We start from the raw sequence: 23,043 nt of genomic DNA, 5'->3' as shown, positions 1-23,043 counted from the left end.
AGAATCGTTTGAATCCGGGAGGTGGAGGTTGCAGTGAGCCGAGATCATGCCACTGCACTCTAGCCTGGGCGACTGAGCAAAACCGGTCTCAAAAAAACACAAAAAAACAAAACGTCAGGCACGGTGGCTCACTCCTGTAATATCCCAGCACTTTGGGAGGCCGAGGCGGGCAGATCACAAGGTCAGGAGTCCAAGACCAGCCTGGTCAACATGGTGAAACCCTGTCTCTACTAAAAATACAAAAATTAGCCAGGCTTGATGGTATGTACCTGTAACCCCAGCTACTCAGGAGGCTGAGGCAGGAGAATCACTTGAATCCAGGAGGTGGAGGTTGCGTGAGCCGAGATCGTGCCATTGCACTCCAGCCTGGGCGACTGAGCAAAACCCGACTCAAAAAAAAAAAAAAACGTCAGGCATGGTGACTCACTCCTGTAATATCCTAGCACTTTAGGAGGCCGAGGCGGCGGATCACAAGGTCAGGGGTTCAAGACCAACCTGGCCAACATGGTGAAACTCCGTCTCTAATAAAAATACAAAAATTAGCCGGGCATGGTGGCAGGCACCTGTAATCCCAGCTACTTGGGAGGCTGAAGCAGGAGAATGGCTTGAGCCCGGGAGGCGGAGGTTGCAGTCAGGAGAGATCGTGCCACTACACTCCAGCCTGGGTGACTGAGCAGGACTCTGTCTCAAAAAAACAAAAATTAAAAAAAGGCCGAGCGCAGTGGCTCATGCCTGTAATCCCAGCACTTTGGGAGGCCGAGGCGGGTGGATCACGAGGTCAGGAGATCAAGACCATCCTGGCCAACATGGTGAAACCCCGTCTCTACTAAAAATACAAAAATTAGCTGGGCATGGCAGCGGGTACCTGTAATCCCAGCTACTTGGGAGGCTGAGGCAAACGAATCACTTGAACCCAGGTAGTGGAGGCTGCAGTGAGCCGAGATCACACCATTGCACTCCAGCCTGGGTGACAGAGTGAGACTCTGTCTCAAAAAAAAAAAAAAAAAAAAAAAAAAGAGACAAAGCAAATAGAAGAGGTGATCAGATAAAGAGAGACAAATGAGAAAAGAAGGAGGAGAAGGGAGAGAAAAACAAAAGAAAAGCTTGGGCGGGAGTGGTGGTGCACGCCTGTAATCCCAGCTGCTCGGGAGGCTGAGGCATGAGAATCATTTGAACCTGGGAGGTGGAGGTTGCAGTGTGCTGAGATCACGCCACTGCACTCCAGCCTGGACGACAGAGCAAGACTCCATCTCAAAACAAAACAAAACAAACAAACAAACAAAAAACAACAACAAAAAAGAAATGCTTACATATAAAGCCAGAAATTAAATAGGCAGTAAATGTGAAACTGCTCAACCTCACAAGTAACCAAGAAAGGCAAATAAACAGGAGGTTTCTTATGCCTTCACATCAGCAGAGCTTTACAAGTGAGAAAGCCTGAGGGTGAGAAAGGCCCACTCAGCCACTTCTGAAACACGCATCAGAGCCTTACACAGGGATTCGGTCTCCACCCAGTAACCCTCTCCTGGAATTCCTGCCTCACATAATTTCCTAAGGCAATAATCCTAGATTTGGATGGGATATGCACACTTACATGCTCATAATAGCATTGAGGGTAACACCAAAACCAAACAAGCAAACCGAAGTGGAGATGACCTGTGTCAGTCCAGGTCCTCTAGAAGCAGGGACCAAGATGGGATTCTTTGCCATGCAAGACATTCATCAAGGCCAGGCGTGGTGGCTTATGCCTGTAATCCCAACACTTTGGGAGGTGGAAGTGGGAGAATCACCTGAGGTCAGGAGTTCAACACCAGGCTGGCCAACATGGTGAAACCCCGTCTCTACTAAAAATATAAAAATTAGCCGGGCGTGGTGGCGGGCACCTGTAATCCCAGCTACTCGGGAGGCTGAGGCAGGAGAATCGCTTGAACCTGGGAGGCAGAGGTTGCAGTGAGCAGAGATGGCGCCACTGCACTCCAGCCTGGGTGACAGAGTGAGACTCTGTCTTGAAAAAATACTAAATAAATAAAGAGATTCATCAGAGCCAGGCCTGGGAGGGAAAAGAGGAGGGAGCAGGGGATTCAGGGAGCTGTCCCACCACAGGCAGGTCTGACTCTTGCTGGAGGACAGGATGAAGGAAGGAAAGGAGGTTGGGGGCAGCGTCTCAGCCTACGGTGCCATCCTGGGAGACTTCAGCACGAATGTGGGAAAATCCTAAGAGAAGCCTGGGTCTCCCAGGAACGAGCCAGCCTCAGCATCCCTGCCATGCTGTCTCTAGATGGGAGAAGCCTGCGGGAAGCGGGGTCTCCATGTGCTGGGTGATGGATTTCCGGGCACAGCAGCTGGGGGCCCTGGGTCAATTATACTTCCCAGAGTGGGAAATCTGAGGGGCACACTTTCACGGCTGCTATACAACCCCGATGACTGAAAATAAGGCAATGAACAAACAGTGGCCGCTCAAAGTCATTTTATCAAAGAATGTTTACTGGCAGGGTAAAATGCTTCAAGTATGACGTTAATTTATAAAAGCAGGTTATAAAATATATTTATGACGATCCCCCATTGAGTTAAAAAATATGTCTGTTGGGGGAACACGGATGGAGTTGGAGGCCATCATCCTCAGCAAACTAACGCAAGAACAGAAAACGAAATACCACACGTTCTCACTTATAAGTGGGAGCTAGATGATGAGAACCGATGACCACAAAGAAGGAAACAACAGACACTGGGGTTTACTGGAGGGGGAGGGTGGAGGCGGGCAGGAGGGTGGGGGGGAAGAGGGAGAGGAACAGGCAGAGAAGATAACTGTTGGGTACTAGGCTTAATACCTGAGTGATGAAATAATCTGTATAAATAAACCCCCATGACACAAGTTTACTTGTTCATTTTCTTTTTTTGAGACAGAGTTTCGCTCTTGTCACCCAGGCTGGAGTGCAGTGGCGCCATCTCAGCTCACCGCAACCTCTGCCTCCCGGGTTCAAGTGATTCTCCTGCCTCAGCCTCCCAAGTAGCTGGGATTACATGTGCTGCCACGCCCGGCTAATTTTATATTTTTAGTAGAGACAGGGTTTCTCCATGTTGGTCAGGCTGGTCTTGAACTCCCGACCTCAGGTGATCCACCCACCTTGGCCTCCCAAAGTGCTGAGGTTACAGGCATGAGCCACCACGCCTGGCAGTTCATTTTCATACTGCTATAAAGACATACCTGGGGCCAGGCACAGTGGCTCACACCTGTAATCCCAGCACTTTGGGAGGCCGAGGCAGGTGGATCACAAGGTCAGGAGATTGAGACCATCTTGGCTAACATGGTGAAGCCCCATCTCTACTAAAAATACAAAAAATTAGCTGGGCGTGGTGGCGGGCGCCTGTAGTCCCAGCTACTCGGGAGGCTGAGGCAGGAGAATGGCGTGAACCCGGGAGGCGGAGCTTGCAGTGAGCTGAGATCGTGCCACTGCAGTCCAGACTGGGAGAGACAGCGAGACTCCATCTCCAAAAAAAAAAAAAAAAAAAAGGCATATCCGAGACTTGCTATTTTATAAAGAAAAGAGGTTTAATTGACTCACAGTTTTGCAGGGCTGGGGAGGCCTCAGAAAATTTACAACCATGACAGAAGCGGAAGAGACACTTCTTACATGGCCGCAGGCGAGAGAGAGTGGTGAGCAAAGGAAGAAGCGCCCCCTTATAAAACCATCAGAGAGAACTCACTCATTATCACGAGAACAGCATGGGGAAAACTGCCCCCGTGATCCAATCACCTCCACCTGGCTTCTCGCTAGACACGTGGGGATTACAATTCCAGATGAGATTTGGGTGGGGACATAAAGCCTAACCATACCATGTTGCTATGTAACAAACCTTCACATGTACCCCTGAACCTAAAATATAAGTTTAAAATAAAGTGTCTGTGTGTGTGTGTGTGTCCACCTATCTTACATATAGACAGAAAGCAAGACTGGCAAAAAAAAAAAAAAATCTTTGGGCAGGGGGAGAATTTTTCTTTTTTTGTTTTTTCTTTTTGATCTCAGTGGTGCGATCTCAGCCCACTGCAATCTCCGCCTCCTGGGCTCAAGCGATTCTCCTGCTTCAGCCTCCTGAGTAGCGGGGATTACAGGTGCCCACGACCACACCAGGCTAATTTTTGTATTTTTAGTAGCGATGGGGTTTCACCTTGTTGGCCAGGCTGGTCTCAAACTCCTGATCTCAGGTGATCCACCCACCTCGGTCTCCCAAAGTGCTGGGATTACAGGCATGAGCAACCATGCCTGGCCAAGAATTTTCTTTATATTTTAATGTATTTTCCAAATTTTCTAAAGTTAGTATGTATTATTTTAGAAATCAGTCAAATAAACATGATTTCAAGTTTTAAAAAAGAAATAGCACTTGGAGAGAAGGTGAGAAATGGAGAGGTGTGAAGGCTTTTCCAAGTGTTGGTAATAAGGTAAGAAAAGACTTTAGCACCCCCAGGTGTCTTACTGTAGCAGTGGGTTTGTGACATTGGTGTTTCTTCTCAACCATCTCTGACACCAGGCTCAGCTCCACTGTCCCCAGCTCTTTATCTGCTCTTCGGATCTCCCCGCTGAATGGACAAAGCAGTCCCCTGGCGTGACTCCTTGTAGAACCAATTTTGCAGTAAAACCAATGCAATATTATTTCTCTCAGCCCTTTTACGCACTACCCAAAATGACAGTACTTTATAGTGAGAAGGAATACTTAGAATGACAATTCTGAGGCTCTTCAAGATCCCAACGTTATTAATTTCCTATTCAATGGCCCTGGAAACATTTTCCCCCAACAGCATTAGTGCTAAGAGCAGCTATTCTTGGATTCAGTTTCTGGTCCTTTACTTACTATATGTGACATAACCTTAGACAAACAACTTCATCTCTAAAAGTTACAATTAAACAATTATACAGTTTAGCAGTGTGTGTGTGTGTGTATTCACAGAGTTGTGCACCTATCGTCACTATATAATTCCAGAACATTCTTATCTCCCCATTAGTAGTCACTACCCACTTGCTTTCAGTCTCCCCAGTGTCTGGAAACCACTAATCTACTTTCTGTCTCGATGGATTTGCCTGTTCCACAATTTTTTTTTTTTTTTTTTGAGACAGTTTTGCTCTGTCGCCCAGGGGGGTGTGCAATGGCGGGATCTTAGCTCACTGCAACCTCTGCCTCCCAGGTTCAAGCGACTCTTCTGCCTCAGCCTCCCGAGTAGCTAGGATTACAGGGGCCCACCTCCACGCCTGGCTAATTTTTCTATTTTTAGTAGAGACAGGGTCTCAGCATGTTGGCCAGCTGGTCTCAAATGCCTGACCTCAGGTGATCTGCCCATCTTAGCCTCCCGAAGTGCTAGGATTACAAGTGTGAGCCACCGTGCCCAGCCTACTCCACAATTTCCCATGAAGAGAATCATATAGTATTTGTCCTCTTATGTCTGACTTCTTCCCTTTTTCAAGGTTCATCCATGTTGCAGCGTGTGTCAGCACGTCATTCCTTCTGACGGCTGAGTAACAGTCCATTGTGTGGGTAGATCACATTTTGTTTATTCTTTCATCACTTCAAGTACACTTGGGTCGTCTCTATATTTGGCCATTTGTGAATGCTGCTGCTTCGAACATTTACCTGCAAGTATCCCTGTTTTCATTTATTTTGGGTATATACCCAGGAGTGGAATTGCTGGGCCACATGGTAGCTCTACTTTTAACTTTTGGAAGAAATGCCTGGCTGTTTTCCATGGTGGCTGCACCATTTCACATTCCCATTAGCCATGTATGAGGGTTTCAATATCTCTATACCTTAACTGACATTTCAACACTACTTCTTACTTTCTTTTTTTTTTTTTTAATCCAGCTCTGGATCACACACCCCAGGCTGGAGTGCAGTGGTGCTATCTCAGCTCACTACAAGCTCCGCCTCACGGGTTCACGCCATTCTCCTGCCTCAGCCTCCCAAGTAGCTGGGACTACAGGCACCCGCCACAACGCCCGGCTAATTTTTTGTATTTTTAGTAGAGACGGGGTTCCACCGTGTTAACCAGGATGATCTTGATCTCCTGACCTTGTGATCCACCCGCCTCGGCCTCCCGAAGTGCTGGGATTACAGACGTGAGCCACCACAACCAGCCTACTTTTTTTTTTTTGAGATAGTCTCACTCCATTGCCCAGGCTGGAGTGCAGTGGCGCAATCTCAGCTCACTGCAACGTCCATTTCCTGGGTTCAAGTGATTCTCCTGTCTCAGCCTCTCGAGTAGCTGGGATTACAGGTGCCTGCCACCACGCTTGGCTAACTTTTGAATTTTTAGTAGAGATGGGGTTTCACTATGTTGGCCAGGCTGATCTCAAGCTCCTGACCTCAGGTGATCCACTCTCCCAAAGTGCTGAGATTACAGGCATGAGCTATCGTGCCTGGTCAATTTCTCTTTTTTTAATTTTAATTTTAATTTTTTTTGGGCGGGGGACAGGTCTCACTCTGTCACCCAGGATGGAGTGCAGTGGTGCAATCATGGTTCACTGAATCTTAGCCTTGACCTCCCAGGCTCAAGTGATCCTCCCATCACAGCCTTCCAAGTAGCTGGAACTACAGGCGTGTGCCACTACAATTTTTGTACTTTTTTGTAGCTAATTTTTGTACTTTTTTGTAGAGACAGGGTTTCGCCAAGTTGCCCAGGCTGGTCTCAAACTCCTGGGCTCAAGCAATCCACCTACCTCGGCCTCCCAAAGTGCTGGGATTACAGGCGTGAGCTACCACGCCTGGCCCTGGATATTTCATTTGTATAGGACCACACAACATGTGGCCTTCTGTGTCTGCCTCCTCTCACTCAGCATAATGGTTTTGAGGGTCTTCCACTTTGTAGTACATAACAGTATTTCATTCCTTTGTATGGTTGAATAATGTTCTTCAACACTGTTGTATAACTTTCAGTATGATACTGAGTGCACCTCCTTGGTTAAATTTATTCCTAAGTATTTTGTCTTCGTTGATGCTATTGAAAATGAAATTGTTTTCTTAATTTCATTTTTGGGCTATTTCTTGCCAGTGTACAGAAAGACAGCTGATTGGCCGGGCGCGGTGGCTCACACCTGTAGTCCCAGCACTTTGGGAGGCCAAGGCGGGTGGATTACCTGAGGTCGGGAGTTCAAGACCAGCCTCAACATGGAGAAACCCTGTCTCTACTAAAAATACAAAATTAGCCTGGCGTGGTGGTACATGCCTGTAGTCCCAGCTACTTGGGAGGCTGAGGCAGAAGAATTGCTTGAACCTGGGAGGCGGAGATTGCGGTGAGCCGAGAGTGCGCCATTGCACTCCAGCCTGGGCGACAAGAGCGAAACTCCGTCTCAAAAAAAAAAAAAAGAAAGACAGCTGATTGTTGTATACTGATCCCATGTCCTGCAACCTTGCTGATCCCATTCACTCGCTCTAAAGGGCTTGTGTGCATCCTTTAGGACTTTCTACGCATACCATCGTATCATCTGCAAATGGTTTTTCTTCCTTTCCAATCTGAAAGCCTTGTATTTCTTTTTCTTTCTTCTTCTTTTTTTTTTTTTTGAGACAGAGTTTAGCTCTTGTCACTCAGGCTGGAGTGTAATGGAGCGATCTCAGCTCACTGCAACCTCTGCCTCCCTGGTTCAAGCGATTCTCCTGCCTCAGCCTTCTGAGTAGCTGGGATTACAGATGCCCATCGCCACACTCAGTTACCTTTTTTTTTTTTTTTGTAGAGATAGGGTTTCACCATGTTGGCCAGACTGGTCTCGAACTCCCGACCTCAGGTGATCCACCGGCCTTAGTGTCCCAAAGTGTTGGGATTACAGGTGTGAGCCACTATGCCCGGCCTCTTTTTTGTGTTTTGTTTGTTTGTTTGTTTGTTTTTGAGATGGAGTTTCGCTCGTTGCCCAGGCTGGAGTGCAGTGGCGCGATCTTGACTCACTGTAATCTCTGCCTCTGGGTTCAATAGATTCTCCTGCCTCAGCCTCCCAAGTAGCTGGGACAACAGGCATGCACCACCACACCCAGCTAATTTTGTTTATTTTTTGTAGAGACGAGGTCTCACTATTGCCCAGTCTGGTCTAGAACTCCTGGGCTCAAATGATCTGCCCACCTCGGCCTCCCAAAGTGCTAGGATTATAGGCGTGAGCCACTGCGCCTGGCCAAGTCTTATATTTCTCTGTTTTGCCCAATTGCCCTAACCAGAACCTCCAGGACAATACTGATATTGACAATATTGACGGGGAAGGAGCAGATATCCACTTCTTGTTCCTGATCTTAGGGGCAAGCATCAGTCTCTCACATTAAACATGATGTTAGCTGTGGACTTTTTGTAGATGCTCTTCATCAGGCTGGGGAAGTTCTACTCCATCTACTCCTGGTTTGTTAAATGTTCTTATGTTGAAAGGTAAACCTGTTTTCTCATGTGTAAAATGAGGACAACAATCTCTATAGGGAGAGTTTTTTGAAGTTGAAAATGGGATAACATAAGGCCGGGTGCAGTGGCTCACGCCTGGGGCATATCTGATATAACCCTGTAAGCCTCAATTTCCTTATCTCTAACATGGGTATTATAAAGCATCTACCTCCTAGGGCTCACACTGGCAGGCAGCGGCAGATGTGATTTACATTGCGAGATTACCAAGTGCCTGGGACATAGAAGCTGTGTGCTATGATAGATGACAGATAAAATGAGATGTGGTCCTTGTCCTGAAAAAGGAGAGATAAAATGTGGTACTGACAGCTACACCGCACTTGATATCAGCAGCAGAAATGGAGCACTGGCGGTGGTTCCGGGGGCACAGCAGGGAGGGCTGGGCCAGGCCACAGCGGAGAGAGAGCGCTGGGCCTTCCAGGGAGGGGAATGCACGGCAGCACAGAGGGAAGAAGTGTGGGGTGCGGTTGAGTAGCCACAGAGAGCTCCTCTTGCTGGGACCTGGGCTGCGTAATCCTAATCGTAATCGGGAAGCAATGGGATTGAAGTTACCGTTGCACTGAATGCAAGCAATGGACGGGGGTGGGGGGACTTCTCCTAGAAGACTTATAAACTGAAGTGCTCCTGCTGAGGGCAGGAGAGGAGGGAGGCAGAGTTTTGAAACAGGAATGGGAGCTGGACATGGTGGCTTATGCCTGTAATCCTAGCACTTTGGGGGGCCGAGGCAGGTGGATCACCTGAGGTCAGGAGTTCGAGACCAACCTGGCCAACATGGTGAAACCCTGTCTCCACTAAAAATACAAAAAAAAAAAAATAATTAAACGGGCATAGTAGCTCGTGCCTGTAATCCCAGCTACCCAGGAGGCTGAGGCAGGAGAATCACTGGAACCCTAGAGGTAGAGGTTGCAGTGAGTCGAGATTGCGCCACTGCACTCCAGCCTGAGCAACAAGAGTGAAACTCCGTCTCAAAAAAAAAGAGAAGAAGCCAGGCGCGGTGGCTCCCACCTGTAATCCTAGCACTTTGGGAGGCTGAGGAGGGTGGATCACTTGAGGTCAGGAGTTTGGGACCAGCCTGGTCAACATGGTGAAACCCTGTCTACTAAAAAAATACAAAAATTAGCCAGAAATAGCTTGAACCCGGGAGACGGAGGTTGCAGTGAGCCGAGATCGTGCCACTGCACTCTAGCCTGGGCAACAGAGCAAGACTCCGTCTCAAAAAGAAAAAAAAAAGAAAAAGAAAAAAAAGAAAAGAAAAGAAAAGAAAAAGGAATGGGGAAAGGCCAGGTGTGGTGGTTCACACCTGTAATCCCAGTGCTTTTAGAGGCTGAGGTGGGTGGGCTGATTGAGCTCAGGAGTTTGAGACCAGCCTGAGGAACATAGGAAGACCTCATCTCTACAAAAAAAGAAAAAAGAAAAAGGGATGGGTGTTAGAAAGCAGGATGATGTTTCCTGATCTTTTTTGATCAGCGCTGGGAGAGTTCTGTTAGGAGATAACTGAATTCTGACTTATACCAGCTGTGTGCACAGCATGGGATGGGACCACAGTTAGCAACATTTTGGAGAAAGAATTCACCACCCAAAATGTGACAAATGGGAAGGGACAGGCAGGCTGCCGTGAAAAAAGAAAACTCAGAAATGCTGCCAGGGTGTTACTGACTGAGCTGGACAGTCTTCGTGGTGGCCTTGATATAAACTGAGACATTTTGTCAGGAATGGGGAAACAGAGATGAAGAATAAGGAAAGTTGCAGCCGGGCATGGTGGCTCATGCCTGTAATCCCAGCACTTTGGAAGGCCGAGGCGGGCAGATCACGAGGTCAGGAGTTGGAGACCAGCCTGGCCAGCACAGTGAAAGCCAGTCTCTACCAATAAAATACAAAAAATTAGCCAGGCATGGTGGCATGCGCCTGTAATCCCAGCTACTTGGGAGGCTGAGGCAAGAGAATCGCGTGAACTAGGGAGGCAGAGCTTGCAGTGATCCGCGATCGTGTCACTGCACTCCAGCCTGGGCGACAGAGCAAGACTCCATCTCAAAAAAAAAAAAAAAAAAAAAGTTGCTGCTGGGCCAGGCGCGGTGGCTTACACCTGTAATCCCAGCACTTTGGGATCAAGGTCAAGAGATCGAGACCATCCTGGCCAACATGGTGAAACCCTGTCTCCACTAAAAATACAAAAATTAGCTGGGTGTGGTGGTGTGCACCTGTAATACCAGCTATTTGGGAGGCTGAGGCAGGAGAATCACTTGAACCTGGGAGGTGGGGGTTGCAGTGAGCTGAGATCATGCCACTAGACTCCAGCCTGGCGACAGAGTGAGACTCCATTCAAAAAAAAAAAGAAAAAGAGGAAGAAAAGCGGCTGCCTTTATACGTGCTGACTACAAAATCAGCAAATTCGAGGTGTGATTATTATCCACACTTCATAGAAGAAGACTTCTAGGCACAGGACAGCTGTCACCCAGGCAGTCACTCAGGACCCAAATCTCGTGGGACTAATAGCACTTCACAATGATGACTTTGGATTTCATTCTAAATGTAATGGGAAGCCCCTGGAAGTTGAAGCAGCATCTTTTAAAAACACCATTCCAGCTGAATAGAGAATTGACTGAAAGCAGCAAGAGGCAAAACATGGGCCAGGCGGGGTGGCCGACTTCTGTAATCCTAGCACTTTGGGAGGCCAAAGTGGGCTTATCACTTGACGTCAGGAGTTCAAGACCAGCCTGGCCAACATGGCAAAACCCCATCTCTACTAATAATACAAAAATTAGCCAGGCGCGGTGGCGTAGACCTGTAATCCCAGATACTCAGGAGGGTGAGGCATGAGAATCGCTTGAACTCGGGAGGTGGAGGTTGCTGTGAGCCAAGATTGCGCCACTGCACTGCAGCCTGGGTGACAAAGTGAAACTGTGTCTCAAAACAACATCAACAACAACAACAACATGAATATTCAAATTGTCCAGGCAAGAGGGTTATTGTCATGGCAGTGGGAATGGGGAGAGGTGGCTGGGTCTGTGATTACAGATGCTCATGGACTTACAATGGGGTCACGTCCCAATAAACCCACTGTAAGCTGAAAATGTTAAGTAAAAAATGCATTTAATACACCTAACCTCCTGAACATCATAGCTCAGCCCAGCCTGCCTTAAAAGGGCTCGGAACACTCACAGCAGCCTACAGTTGGGCAAAAGTGCCTGGCAGCCCAGGATGCAGGAGTGTTGGCTGTCTGCCTTCATTCAGCTCACTGCCACTGCCCAGCACCACGAAGAGATCATACGGCACGTCACTAGCCTGGAAGAAGATCAAAATTCAACATCTTAAGTACAGTTTCTACTGAGTGCGTATTGCTTTTACACCATCCTAAAGTCAAAAAATCCTAAATCGCCGGGTGTGGTGGCTCACGCCTGTAATCCTAGGACTTTGGGAGGCCAAGGCGGGTGGATCATTTGAGGTCAGGAATTCAAGACCAGTCTGGCCAATATGGTGAAACCCCATCTCTACTAAAAATACAAAATTTAGCCGGGCATGGAGGTGGGCACCTGTACACCTGTAGTCCCAGCTACTAGGAAGGCTGAGGCAGGAGAATCGCTTGAACCCAGGAGGTGGAGGTTGCAGTGAGCTAAGATAACGCCACTGCACTACAGCCTGGGCTACAGAGTGAGACTCTGTCTCAAAAAAAAAAAAAGAATCCTAAGTCAGGGCCGTCTGTATTTTGGAGGTGTTATTGGCGAGACTTGCTAATAGGCTGAACGTGGGAAGAGAGGGAAAGGAAGAGGCTAGGGTGAAGTCTGAGTTTCTGGCTGGAACATTTGGGGAGACGTCAATGCCATTTATCAGGATGCAGAGTGTTTGCAGATGAGCAAGTTTTGGGCACAGAGATGGAAAGTAAGGTTAGTTAGAGGTAGAGGGACTTGAGAAAGAGAAAACTTGTGAATAGAGAGGAATGAGTCAATGAAAAAGGAGAAAAATGCAAGGGACAGAAGAGATAACTGACAAGAGAAAGCCCCAGGGGGCAGCAAAGGGAATGTCCAGGAAAAGACAAAACCTCTGCAGATGTGAGATTTGGCCACTGTTTCTGTGAAGTTTGCCCTTCCCTAAAGGGCTCTGCATGGGAGGTCGCTTCTGCCTCCTCGCCCTGGCCCCAACCCCTTTGCTGGTCCATCTCTGCTCATCCAGCTCAGTCCTGGCTCAGAAGCCAAATACCACAACCTATCACAGGTATCAACAAAGATTTTATTGTATTTGCAATAAAGTCACTGTTGTATTCTCTGAGTCTCATTAAAATACAACCTTCAGTACACACATTTGGTTTTTTTTTTTGAGGCAGAGTCTCGCTCTGACACCCAGACTGGAGTGCAATGGCATGATCTTGGCTCACTGCGAGCTCTGCCTCTAGTTTCAAGCAATTCTGCTGCCTCAGCACCCTAAGTAGCTGGGATTACAGGCACCTGCCACCATGCTCAGCTACTTTTTTTTTTTTTTTTTTTTTTTGAGTTGGAGTTTCACACCTTTTGCCCAGGCTAGAGTGCAATGGCGTGATCTTGGCTCACTGCAACCTCCGTCTCCCGGGTTCAAGCGATTCTCCTGCCTCAGCCTCCCAAGTAGCTGGGATTACAGGCATGCACCACCACCCTGGCAAATTTTGTATTTTTAGTAGAGATGGGGTTTCTCCATGTTGGTCAAGCTGGTCTTGAACTCCTGACCTCAGGTGAGCCACCCACCTCGGCCTCTCAAAGTGCTGGGATTACAGGCGTGAGCCACCGTGCCCAGCAATTTTTTGTATTTTTAGTAGAGATGAGCTTTCGCCATGTTGGCCAGTCTGGTCTCGAACTCCTGACCTCAGGTGATCCACCCGCCTCAGCCTCCCAAAGTGCTGAGATTATAGGTGGAGCCACGGTGCCCGGCCCTTTTTTTTTTTTTTTAAATGGAATCTCGCTCTGTTGCCCAGGCTGGAGTGCAATGGCACAATCTTGGCTCATTGCAACCTCTGCCTCCTGTGTTCAAGCGATCCTCCCACCCCAGCCTCCCAAGTAGCTGGGATTATTAAATGTGCGTCACCATGCCTGGCTAATTTGTGGGTGGTTTTTTTTTTTTTTTTTTTTTTTGAGATGGAGTCTCGCTCTGTCGCCCAGGCTGGAATGCAGTGGCTCAATCTCGGGTCACTGCAACCTCCGCTTCCCGGGTTCAAGCGATTCTCCTGCCTCAGCTTCCTGAGTAGCTGGGACTACAGGTGCCCGCCACCACACCCGGCTAATTTTTTGTATTTTTTGTAGAGATGGGGTTTCACCATGTTGGCCAGGCTGGTCTCAAACTCCTGACCTCAAGTGGTCCGCCCGCCTTGGCCTCCCAAAGTGCTGGGATTATAGGCGTGAGCCGCCGCACCTAGCCAGTACCCACATCTTGGTCAGAGAATAAAAAGGAAGAGTCGGTAAATACACAGCAAGTATTAGGGAAAGGAGGGACAGAAACTAGAGAAACACAGATCTCAGTACATACAGGAGAGTTGACACAGCATCATTATAGTCCACTGATGGGTGGCGCTGGGAACTTGGGAGACACCAACACGTTGGAGTCAGGGCTATGGGACAGGTGTGGGGGGCAAGTTGGGGAGGACCGCTAACCCCTGATCATTCAGGCTCCACCCCCAATGCAAAATTGTAATGCAACCAACCAGCTCTGTTCAGTACTTCCCCCAGGAGAGAAAATCAGTCAGACTAGATGAAGAGATTAGACTGCTCACTGTACCAAGCCCATTAAGGCAGGAAAGTAGACTCTTATCTTAAAAAGCTTTTCCCCCCTCTACACAATAAGGGTTTTCTAGCTAACGATTTTCAGTGAAACAGAAAATCTGATCAATCAGAATGCCCCATTCCCCAGATTTCTCATTAACTGTGATTTTGTTGCTTTTCACAAAGCCTTTGGGAACTTTTAAATGACCAACTTTGCAGGTATATATGCAATTCTGGAAATGGTATTAAAAAGCATACTTACGGCCGGGTGCCGTGGCTCATGCCTGTAATCCCAGCACTTTGGAAGGCCGAGGTGGGGGTGGATCACTTGAGGCCAGGAGTTCAAGATCAGCCTGGCCAACATGGTGAAATTCTGTCTCTACTAAAAATATAAAAATTAGCCCAGCCTGGTGGCAGGCACCTGTAGTCCCAGCTACTCGGGAGGAGGGGGTACGAGAATTGCTTGAACCCAGGAAGGCAGAGGTTACAGTGAGCTGAGACTGCACCATTGCACTCCAGCCTGGGCAACAGAGTGAGACCCTGTCTCAAAAAGAAAAAAAAAAGGCATACTTAACAGATGAAATCCATATGGTGTCTGGAATGTGCTTCAAAATAATGGAGGTGGGCGTGAGGTCTTAGAAAAAAACAAAATTGGCCCTGAGTTGATCATTGTTAAACTGGATAGTGGTCATTCATTATGATGAAGGGGCTCATTATACTATTCTCCACTTCTGTGTACTGAAGATTTTCTGAACTAAAAAGGTAGAAAGTACATGCATTAAACTTCAGGATAAGTTCAATCACACCACCCTATACAAATCTAATTTCAGATCTTTACCGAAAATAAGGGAAACCATGTTCTACAGAATCGAGTCCACATCAAGATGAAATGCTTTTCACACCATTTAGAGATTAGTCTTATAGCTACAATTACTCAAGTTGAAGTTTTGAAATTACCTACGCAGTCTTCAGAGTCAACGCCTACTGTCGCTCAACCTACCCCCTCTGATCCCCCTTTCCTCCCCTGCCCCACCAGTCCCAGGGTGTGGGCAGAGGCAGCTGGAGCAGGATGGGCTCCAGGAGAGTTCATCCACAGGCTGTCTCGATATCTGCTTCCTGCCAGGTCTGTGCGAGGTACGGCACCAGGCCCTCGTCCTGGTGGGCTCAGAATCTGGTGGGGAAGAGAAACTGAGTAATTCAACATGATCGGTGTCCTGAGAGCCGCTCCGAGGCCCGACTCCATGTGTGCGTGCACCTGTGTGGTGGGGAGGGAATATGAAGGCTGGTTTCTGAGGATCTGATGTTTAAGGAAAGACCTGAAGGAAAAGAGTGGAGATGGGGAAGGGCTGGGACAGAGGAGACAGACCTTGGGAAAACTGTAAACAGCAAAACCAAACCAAACCTGGTGTGTTCAGAAAACGAAAAAAACAGCAAAGAAAGCAGGGGAGGGGCTTCCCTGAGGGCCTGGGCCTTTATCTGGAAAGCGCTGGAAGGACTGAAGAGAAGAGTGACCTGGCTAGACTTGGGCTTTTTAAAGCTCGTGCTATGATGTGGAGGATGGATGAGGCCACTACTTGAGCTGCTTGGGCAATGACGTGACTTGGATGGGGGTGATGGCAGCAGGGATGGAGAGAAGCGGATGTGTATTTAGAAGAAACTGAGAAGAGAAACTTGGCAGGACTTGGTATTGGGAGGGGAGAGGAAGGACATCAGGGATAATTCTCTGGATTTGGGCTTGGGTGAGTGGTGGATGGTGAGGCCACTTACAAGAGGGAAAAGCCCGGTTAGGCTTCTCTGACCCATGTAGCCTCGCTACCTCGGACATGACTCCGGTTTGTCTGTAATGGAATTAACCACGCCACCACCTTGAGAAATGTGCAGAGCTGTACGTGCCCCTGCAGCAGCCGGAAATGTTAAGCCTGAGCAGGGCCCAGTGAACATCAAGGAATAGGACTCCAGGGCACCGGCCTCGCTCCCTCTGGATCCTGCTCCTGTCCTGCTCCTGTCGCTGCTACTCCCTCCCCAACCCATCCAAACTCTGCTTTCTCCTCCAATCATGCCCCTACCATCTTTTAGGATCCCAGGTAGGTATGGAGCTGCGCTCAAAACATTAACACAGACCCCTGCTGCTGAGCTCAGTGGAAACCGAGTTCCTTCCAGCCCAAAGGAGTCTGTGAGGCGCTCACCTTTCCCTCTAGGACCCCCGGCTCTCAAGGCCCAGGCTTGCTTTGTGTCTCCTCGGGGGAGGTATGGGGGTTTGATCAGACAAGAGCTTGTGTATCAACCCACTGCATTCTACATCGAGATCCAGATCTGGGCAGTCATCTGGTGAAGCAACCCCATGGCTCTGTGCGGGGCTGTGTCTTCTCGCTGGGTCACCCTGTCCAGGCACAGGGCGCCAGATGGGTGGGCGCGGGGCCCAGGAAAACGACAGAGAAAAGCTGCTACATTAAACGAAGATGAGCCAAACCTTCTCAGCACCTGAACAAAGGAACAGTTCTACTGGCCAGCTTTCTAGTCTTTCCCATCTCTGGTATTGGGTCAATAACGAGGAGGGGAACCACAGTGCCTGGAGGCTCCCACTGTGACTGAGGATCTTGCAGAGCTGGGCCAGTGCTGGCTGTGCTGATGACTGCACTCTCTAAGCACAGAGCTCCACGGGCTACTGAACACTTGGACACATGTGATTTCACGTGAAACTGTCAAGCGTGCAGGCCTGGTGCTCTTTGCCCAAGTCCCGGATGAGGAAACGGGAGGTTTATAGGGGCACCAGTGAGTTCTGTCCATCTGGGTGCGGCCTGGAGCAGTGGCCTGCCTCACTAGCCCCTGCTGAGGCCACAGGCAGAACCCGCCACACTGGGCCTTTCTCATCAGCCTTTGTGGGGAGGCCTGTCTTTAGAAGAGGAGCACCGACTTTCTGGACACACCTCTAGAATCGCCCTCCCACCCTGGGCCTCTTCCCCACCCAATGCCTCCATCCCAGGCTTATCACACCTCCCGAGGTTAGAAGGAGTGAGCTGGCCAAGGGCATCGCTATGCTCAGATCTCTTCATTTTCCCATCTCTTCCACTGCTGCAACAGGATAGTATTTAAGGCCACACATCACAGGCTTTTCAAAAAAAATAAGGTGTCTTTATTGTCTTGGATGCAAATATAGTTTAAAAAATGCATTGTAGTGTTGAATACAGCTGGTGGAAACGTGCTTCTTGACAGCAGAGCAATCAGAGGGGTGTACTCAGGGTGACGTGGACCGGAGGGGGCCTCTGGCCAAACCAGACTCTTCTCTGGTTTGTTCTTCAGACCACGAGGTGGAACCATCTCTTCAAAGGAGCCCTGCCACCATCACCAAAGCTCACACCAGAAAAAACCGCCATTTACACAACAAACTGAACCTGAAAAAGGAACGGAACATGGTGCTTCCGCCGTGAACAAAATCAGCAAGTGAATCCGTTTTCCTTTCCCGGGCTGTTCGAAAAAGATTCGGCTAGAGAAAAGGGGGCACTGTGGGCAGCCCGTAGGGGATGGCCTGGAGCTGTGGGGCCCGGGCTGAGCCCTCCCTGCCTTTTAACTGCAGGATGTAAACTCTATGGAAATGTATAGAACTTCAGTTTCTCCCAACCCTCCACAACCTCAACTCTTGAGACCACCAAATAACTGTTAGGAAACGCAGAAGAGAGTCCTTCAAATGAGCTACACCCAGGTTCAGAGCGCAGAACCAACAGTGTGACTGGGGCATGGAGGTAAATTCTGACACGATTGGAGGGGAATTTCACAAAACAAAATTCCATGAAGTCAACACGCACACGCGCGCGTGCACACACACACACACACACGCATACACACAAAGTCAACATTCAACGTGAAGAGTTCCCTTTTCTTTCTCGAAGGTTGGTTTTTGCAAGCCCTGACAAGCAAAGAGTCCCTTGCGGTGGCCAGGGGGGCCAAGACCTCAGAATGAAAAGCCCACAGCTGCTCTGTCCTCACCCGCTCTGGAGGCCAGCCCTGGTACAGGCATGGGGGTGGGGGTCCTAAAACCCTTCGTCAGCGTTCCTGGAGCCCTTGCCAAGCTTACCATGTGCCCCATGCGTGTCCCTCACATCACAAAAACCTGTCCAGCCGCCCAAGGCCATGGTGTCCACCGAATGCCACAAACATGCTGCTGAGCCTCAAAGCTCTTCAACCTCCCACCTTGCTGTCCCCTCTCCCCTGACAAGTGTGCAGACAAGGTAAAAATCCCCCAAAGCAGAGATGTCGAGGGCCCGGAGCCACACACCACATCCCCGTGCATCTTTGGCACTCTGGCTGGCCACTGCTGCACACGCTGCCTGCCCGGATCAGTGCTGTCCAGCCCTCCTTTCCCTTCCCCAAGGAAACGCTGGGCCAAGCTGAGCTCCAAAACAGGTGGGTTCCTCTGGGGCCGGGGAGCAGGTGTTGAGGGAAAGGCCACTTTCCCACCAGAGGGAAAAGAGAGAGGCTCAACTCACACCCAGGCTGCCTGCTAGGAGGCCTCAGGCGGGCGAGGCAGCGGCCAGGCGACAAGGGAAAGGGACAGCTGAGGGCGAACGGGGGTGATGAGACGGGCCCTCCAAGCCTTCCCACGTCAGAGCCAGGGTAAGGAAAAGAGCTGGACCAAAGCAAGGTCCATCTGCCAGTGCATAACCAGGCCCACAGCACCCCAAATCCCCCACACACAGGGGTCCACTGGCCCGGGACAGGCCCAGCTCCACACCCATGAGTTCTGAGAGCCTAACGTACTGTCCAGCAGACAGCGAGACCTCACCATCTTGAAAACCTGAACCTGCCACCTCAGGTTCACCCGGGGGCCAGCTAGGGCCTTGGAGGAAGGGGCCTCGCCAGTTCTCAGCTGCAGCTCCCCTCTATGAGAGAGACCCTTACCTGCACCCCAGCTGCCGGCAGGGCCAGTCATGGCTGTGCACGGAGATGAGGTGGGTGTGTAAGCCCCCCAACGTCAGCAACAGACAGAGGTGCTGCCTGCCACTGTGCTACTTTATCTGGGCAGGGACTGGGGGTGCCATGCCCTCTAAGAATCCAAATTTACATCCTCTTAGCCAGAGCAGAGAAACCTTAGGATTGACTTCTAGAAAAGGGAGTGTGGTCAGGGCCCATGGGCGGGAAATGGGAGGGCTGGCTGACGGCTGACCCCACTCCCCTGGCTGACAGCTCCGGGACCATGCGCAGCACTGGGGGGGTCTGCTGCTTTCCAGCCCCTTCCCCTCAACCAGACCCAATGCTGTCATCAGCACCAATGGCCAGCGCTGCTATTGCTTCCTGCGGTAAAATCCTTCAAAGTAGAGATGTCCTAAGAAGGCAGCTAGCCAGCCCGCCCAGGGTGCCGGATGCTGCGTGGCCTGCTGGCCGACTCCAAGAAAAGCCCTCAGTGGCGCCTGCCCCGCTCTGGGGTCTCCCACCCACCATGGAAGGCAGCAGTGCAGTGCAGGGGCTGACAGCACAGGGCAATTTATCAGAAACCCGCCCAGGGATTTATACGCCAGCAGGCCTTCTGGTTTTTCTTTTTGGATTTTCTATTTTTTTCTTCTTTTTTTTTTTGAGATAGGGTTTTGCTCTGTCACCCAGGCTGGAGTGCAGTGGTACAATCTCAGCTCACTGCAACCTCCGCCTCCCAGGTTCAAGTGATTCTCCTGACTCAGCCTCCCGAGTAGCTGGGATTACAGGCGTGTACCACCACACGTGGCTAATGTTTTGTATTTTTAGTATAGACAGGGTTTCACCATGTTGGTCAGGCTGGTTGTGAACTCCTGACTGCAGGTGATCCACCCGCCTTGGCCTACCAAAGTGCTGGGATTACAGGCGTGAGCCACCACAGTCTGCCTCTATTTTCTTTTATTTAGAGGCAGGGTTTCACTCTGTCATCCAGGCTGGAGTACAGTGTGGCATGATCATAGCTCACTGCAACTTCTAGGCTCAAGCAATCCTCCAGCCTCAGGCCCAAGTAGCTGGGACCACAGGCACTCACTGCTACACACGGCTAAATTTTTTTTTTTTTTTTTTTTTTTTGTAGAGACAGGGTCTTGTTATGTTGCCAGGGTTGGTCTCCAACTCCTGAGCTCAAGTGATCCTTCAGCTTCAGCCTCCCAAAGTGCTAGGATCACAGGCAGGAGCCACCGTGCCCAGCCAAGATTGATTTTCTTACTCTCCAAAGCGTCAGCATTTTGAAGTTTCTTTTATGAAAGTGGGGGCAAGAATCAGGGTGAAAATGAGTGTAAACAAAGCCCATCCTGTGGTCAGCACCCACTGGAGGTGGCCAGCAGAGTGGCCTCAGATGTTCCTGCACCTGGCCCAGGAGCCCAGGACAGAGGTCAAATCTAGGCCCCTTGGTCTGGCTGGATTCATCAGGCAAGATTCGAAAACAAGAAAACCTCTAGAACAAGAAACAATCATGTCTGCAGCAGATACGGCACTGTGGCCCTATGGCCATGGCAATCGTGAGCACCAAGAGAATGAGTTACAGAAATATCTCCAATACAAAGACATGCATCTCCTGGACAGTGGACAGTCGCTGGGACACACACACACACTTCAAGGCTCACACAACCTAACAGCCTTAAATATCTGAAGAAACAGAATCACGACATTAAGTCAGCAGAGGGAGAGGTAGGCTGAAGCAGCAGGAGGCCAATTTTATATCCCACAGATTTTTTTAAAAATGACTCCCCAGCAAGGGGTGGGGAGAAAGCCACTGATTTAGGAGAGTTCTTGGCTCAGCCAACCACTGCGGTTATCTACACGTTTTACAAAGGCACAGAAGTAGAGAGGGGCTGCACTCACGACCCTCCCCAGGGCCCGCACAGCCAGACACGGTGGGTTCTTCCTTTTTCCCTTCTGGCCTTGGTGGAATTCCTACCACGGTGGCCTCTGCCTTTGGGACAATGCCTTCATGCTCATCCCCGGGTCAAGGATGGAGTCTGTTACCATTTTCCAGGGGAAATTCCAAGGACCAGCCCCGCCTCATTACGTTCACCCCACAGGAAGGTGATCTGGAAAGCCTGTAAACACGTACTCTGGGTGGCTGAGTGGTGTCACCAAGCTGCTTTTGTGCAGGGCTGAAGCACAGACAAGAGGGCAGGCAGCTGGCCGGAGGCCTGAAGTGGGGAGAGATCCCCGCAGGCCTGCAGGAGCCAGGGAGAACCTCCAACTGGATCTAAACTGTGGGACAGCCCAGGCGTGCCCCTCTTCACATGGCTCCCAGGCTCCCTCAAAGCCCTTCCCAGGCCCTGCAGGAAGAGAGGGAGGGTGAGGAGAGGCAGGGAGGGCAGAGGTCGCCTGAAAGCCTGGGCTCCGAACTCCTCAGCAGAGCTTTAAAGTGCATTCTTTCCACGAGGAGGTACCCTCGGCCGGGCTTCCTGAGTGCTGGAGAGAGTGCTTGCCCCTGCAGCTCCCTGCAGAGGTAGCCAGAGAAGAGCAAGGACTGAGGCTGGGCCAAACTCTCACTGCAGGCTCAGAATGGCCCCCAGCCCAGCCACACCTCCACCCAGCCCAGATCTGGGTAGATTCTTTGCTGTCTGATCTGAGAGATGCCTAGAAACAGCTCTGAGGGCTGACCACCACAGAGTGCTGCCTGCCAACATTGTTTCCTTCTCCAAACACAAGACGGGACAGACTTTTGAGTGTGGGGGCATCTTTGGTCCGAGAACTGTCCTGGTTTGGGGCTCCCAGCTGAAAGACATCAGACAAGATGACAAGGCTGACAGCAGGACGTGGAGTCTGATCTTTCAGACACTAGAACTTCAGGGTTCTAAGCTCCCACAGGACATGCTTGATCTGTCAACAGCTGCAGCTGGAGCCAAGTGGAGAAGAACGGCAGAAGGGCCACAGCGGTGAGGTGACATCCGAGAAGGCCCTGGGCTGAGTCCCCATGGATCCTGCAATGTCAGGTGGAGCTAAAAGGGGACAGATGAAACATGCCCAGCAGGGCCTCTCAGCCAGAGCAGCCACCGTGCATCACACGCTTCCATTCTGGTCCTGTGTGTTCCACATCCACCGTTTCTGCACACATGTGTCCTGGAGGACCTCTGAAGAAGGCACTTCCCCCTGGCAGCCTGCCATGCATAAGCCTGAATAGAAGCCCAAGTCCATCCACAAGGGCTGGGTGCTGTCAGAGTTGAGGGGAGAAAGAAAGACGCCTTCCAACTGCCCCACGGGCAGACCAGAGAGTGGAGCAGGGCATCAGGCAGAGGCATGCATGTGGACAGGACGTGGCAGGAGGGACAAGGCTGGGCCTCAGGACAGGAGCAGGCCCTGTCACCCTCATCCCATCGATTCCGCTCACCGGCGCCAGGCCCGGCAGGCCACCAGCAGGGCAGGACCAGCACGGCCAGCACTTCCCTTTTGTGTGGGCTGCCCCGAGGGCAGAGGAGGTTGGTGACTGAGGTCACTGAGTGAGAGAGTTCACAGCAAGGGGTTCCCAAAGGCGGGCTATTGCTGTCAGCAGGCCCCAAACCTGCTTCAGACCTGAGCATGGCCTCCCGATGCCACGGTGGGCCGGCAGAGTTGGAGAGAGGCCCCGAGGCTGAGCGTCAGGAAGGGCTGGGGGGCGCAGCCTACTCTCCATGGGCAGGGAAGGGTCTCCTGGCATCTCATGCGGCCACATGCCAGCTAAGCAGCTAGGACTCTCCCAATCTCTTGCCAATCCTGGTGACAGCCTTGGACGCCTGCTCTGGCAGCTGTGCCGGGTCTGTGAGGATGGAGGTGGAGGTGCTCAGCTGCCGCAGCGTGCTCAATACCACTGCAAGACAGAAAGGGTCAGACACAGGCAGTGACACAGACCCACCACACACCGCACACTCGGCTTTGTACCTACAACCCATGTGGGAATGCTCAGGCACGGGGCGAGCAGCAGCCATGCTGGACTGCAGGGAGGAGTGCCAG

General features: G+C 50.5%; 1 protein-coding gene across 4 annotated transcripts in view, besides 1 other annotated feature; it reads right to left on the bottom strand.

Moving 5' to 3' along the window:
• MLXIP (MLX interacting protein) overlaps positions 17,247 to 23,043 on the bottom strand; it is a 68,589-nt gene continuing 62,792 nt past the window's right edge. For all 4 annotated transcript variants that reach the window (XM_006719290.5, XM_006719292.5, XM_006719291.5 and 1 more), the window contains one exon: positions 17,247 to 22,900. In XM_006719290.5, the coding sequence (XP_006719353.1) occupies positions 22,771 to 22,900 (130 nt within the window). In that variant the 3' untranslated portion in view covers positions 17,247 to 22,770. The remainder of the gene's footprint in view (positions 22,901 to 23,043) is intronic.
• Positions 21,902 to 22,102: a silencer, noted in NCBI's record as "peak2016 fragment used in MPRA reporter construct". NCBI's record gives its function as "represses an SCP1 promoter by STARR-seq MPRAs in K562 erythroleukemia cells {active_cell/tissue: K562}" and the evidence as "EXISTENCE:reporter gene assay evidence [ECO:0000049][PMID:32103011]".

This window comes from Homo sapiens, chromosome 12 (genome assembly GCF_000001405.40).
Source record: "Homo sapiens chromosome 12, GRCh38.p14 Primary Assembly".
Taxonomy (NCBI): Eukaryota; Metazoa; Chordata; class Mammalia; order Primates; family Hominidae; genus Homo; species Homo sapiens.
Note: the sequence above shows the minus strand (reverse complement) of the source record. Positions and strands in the feature narration are given on the sequence as shown.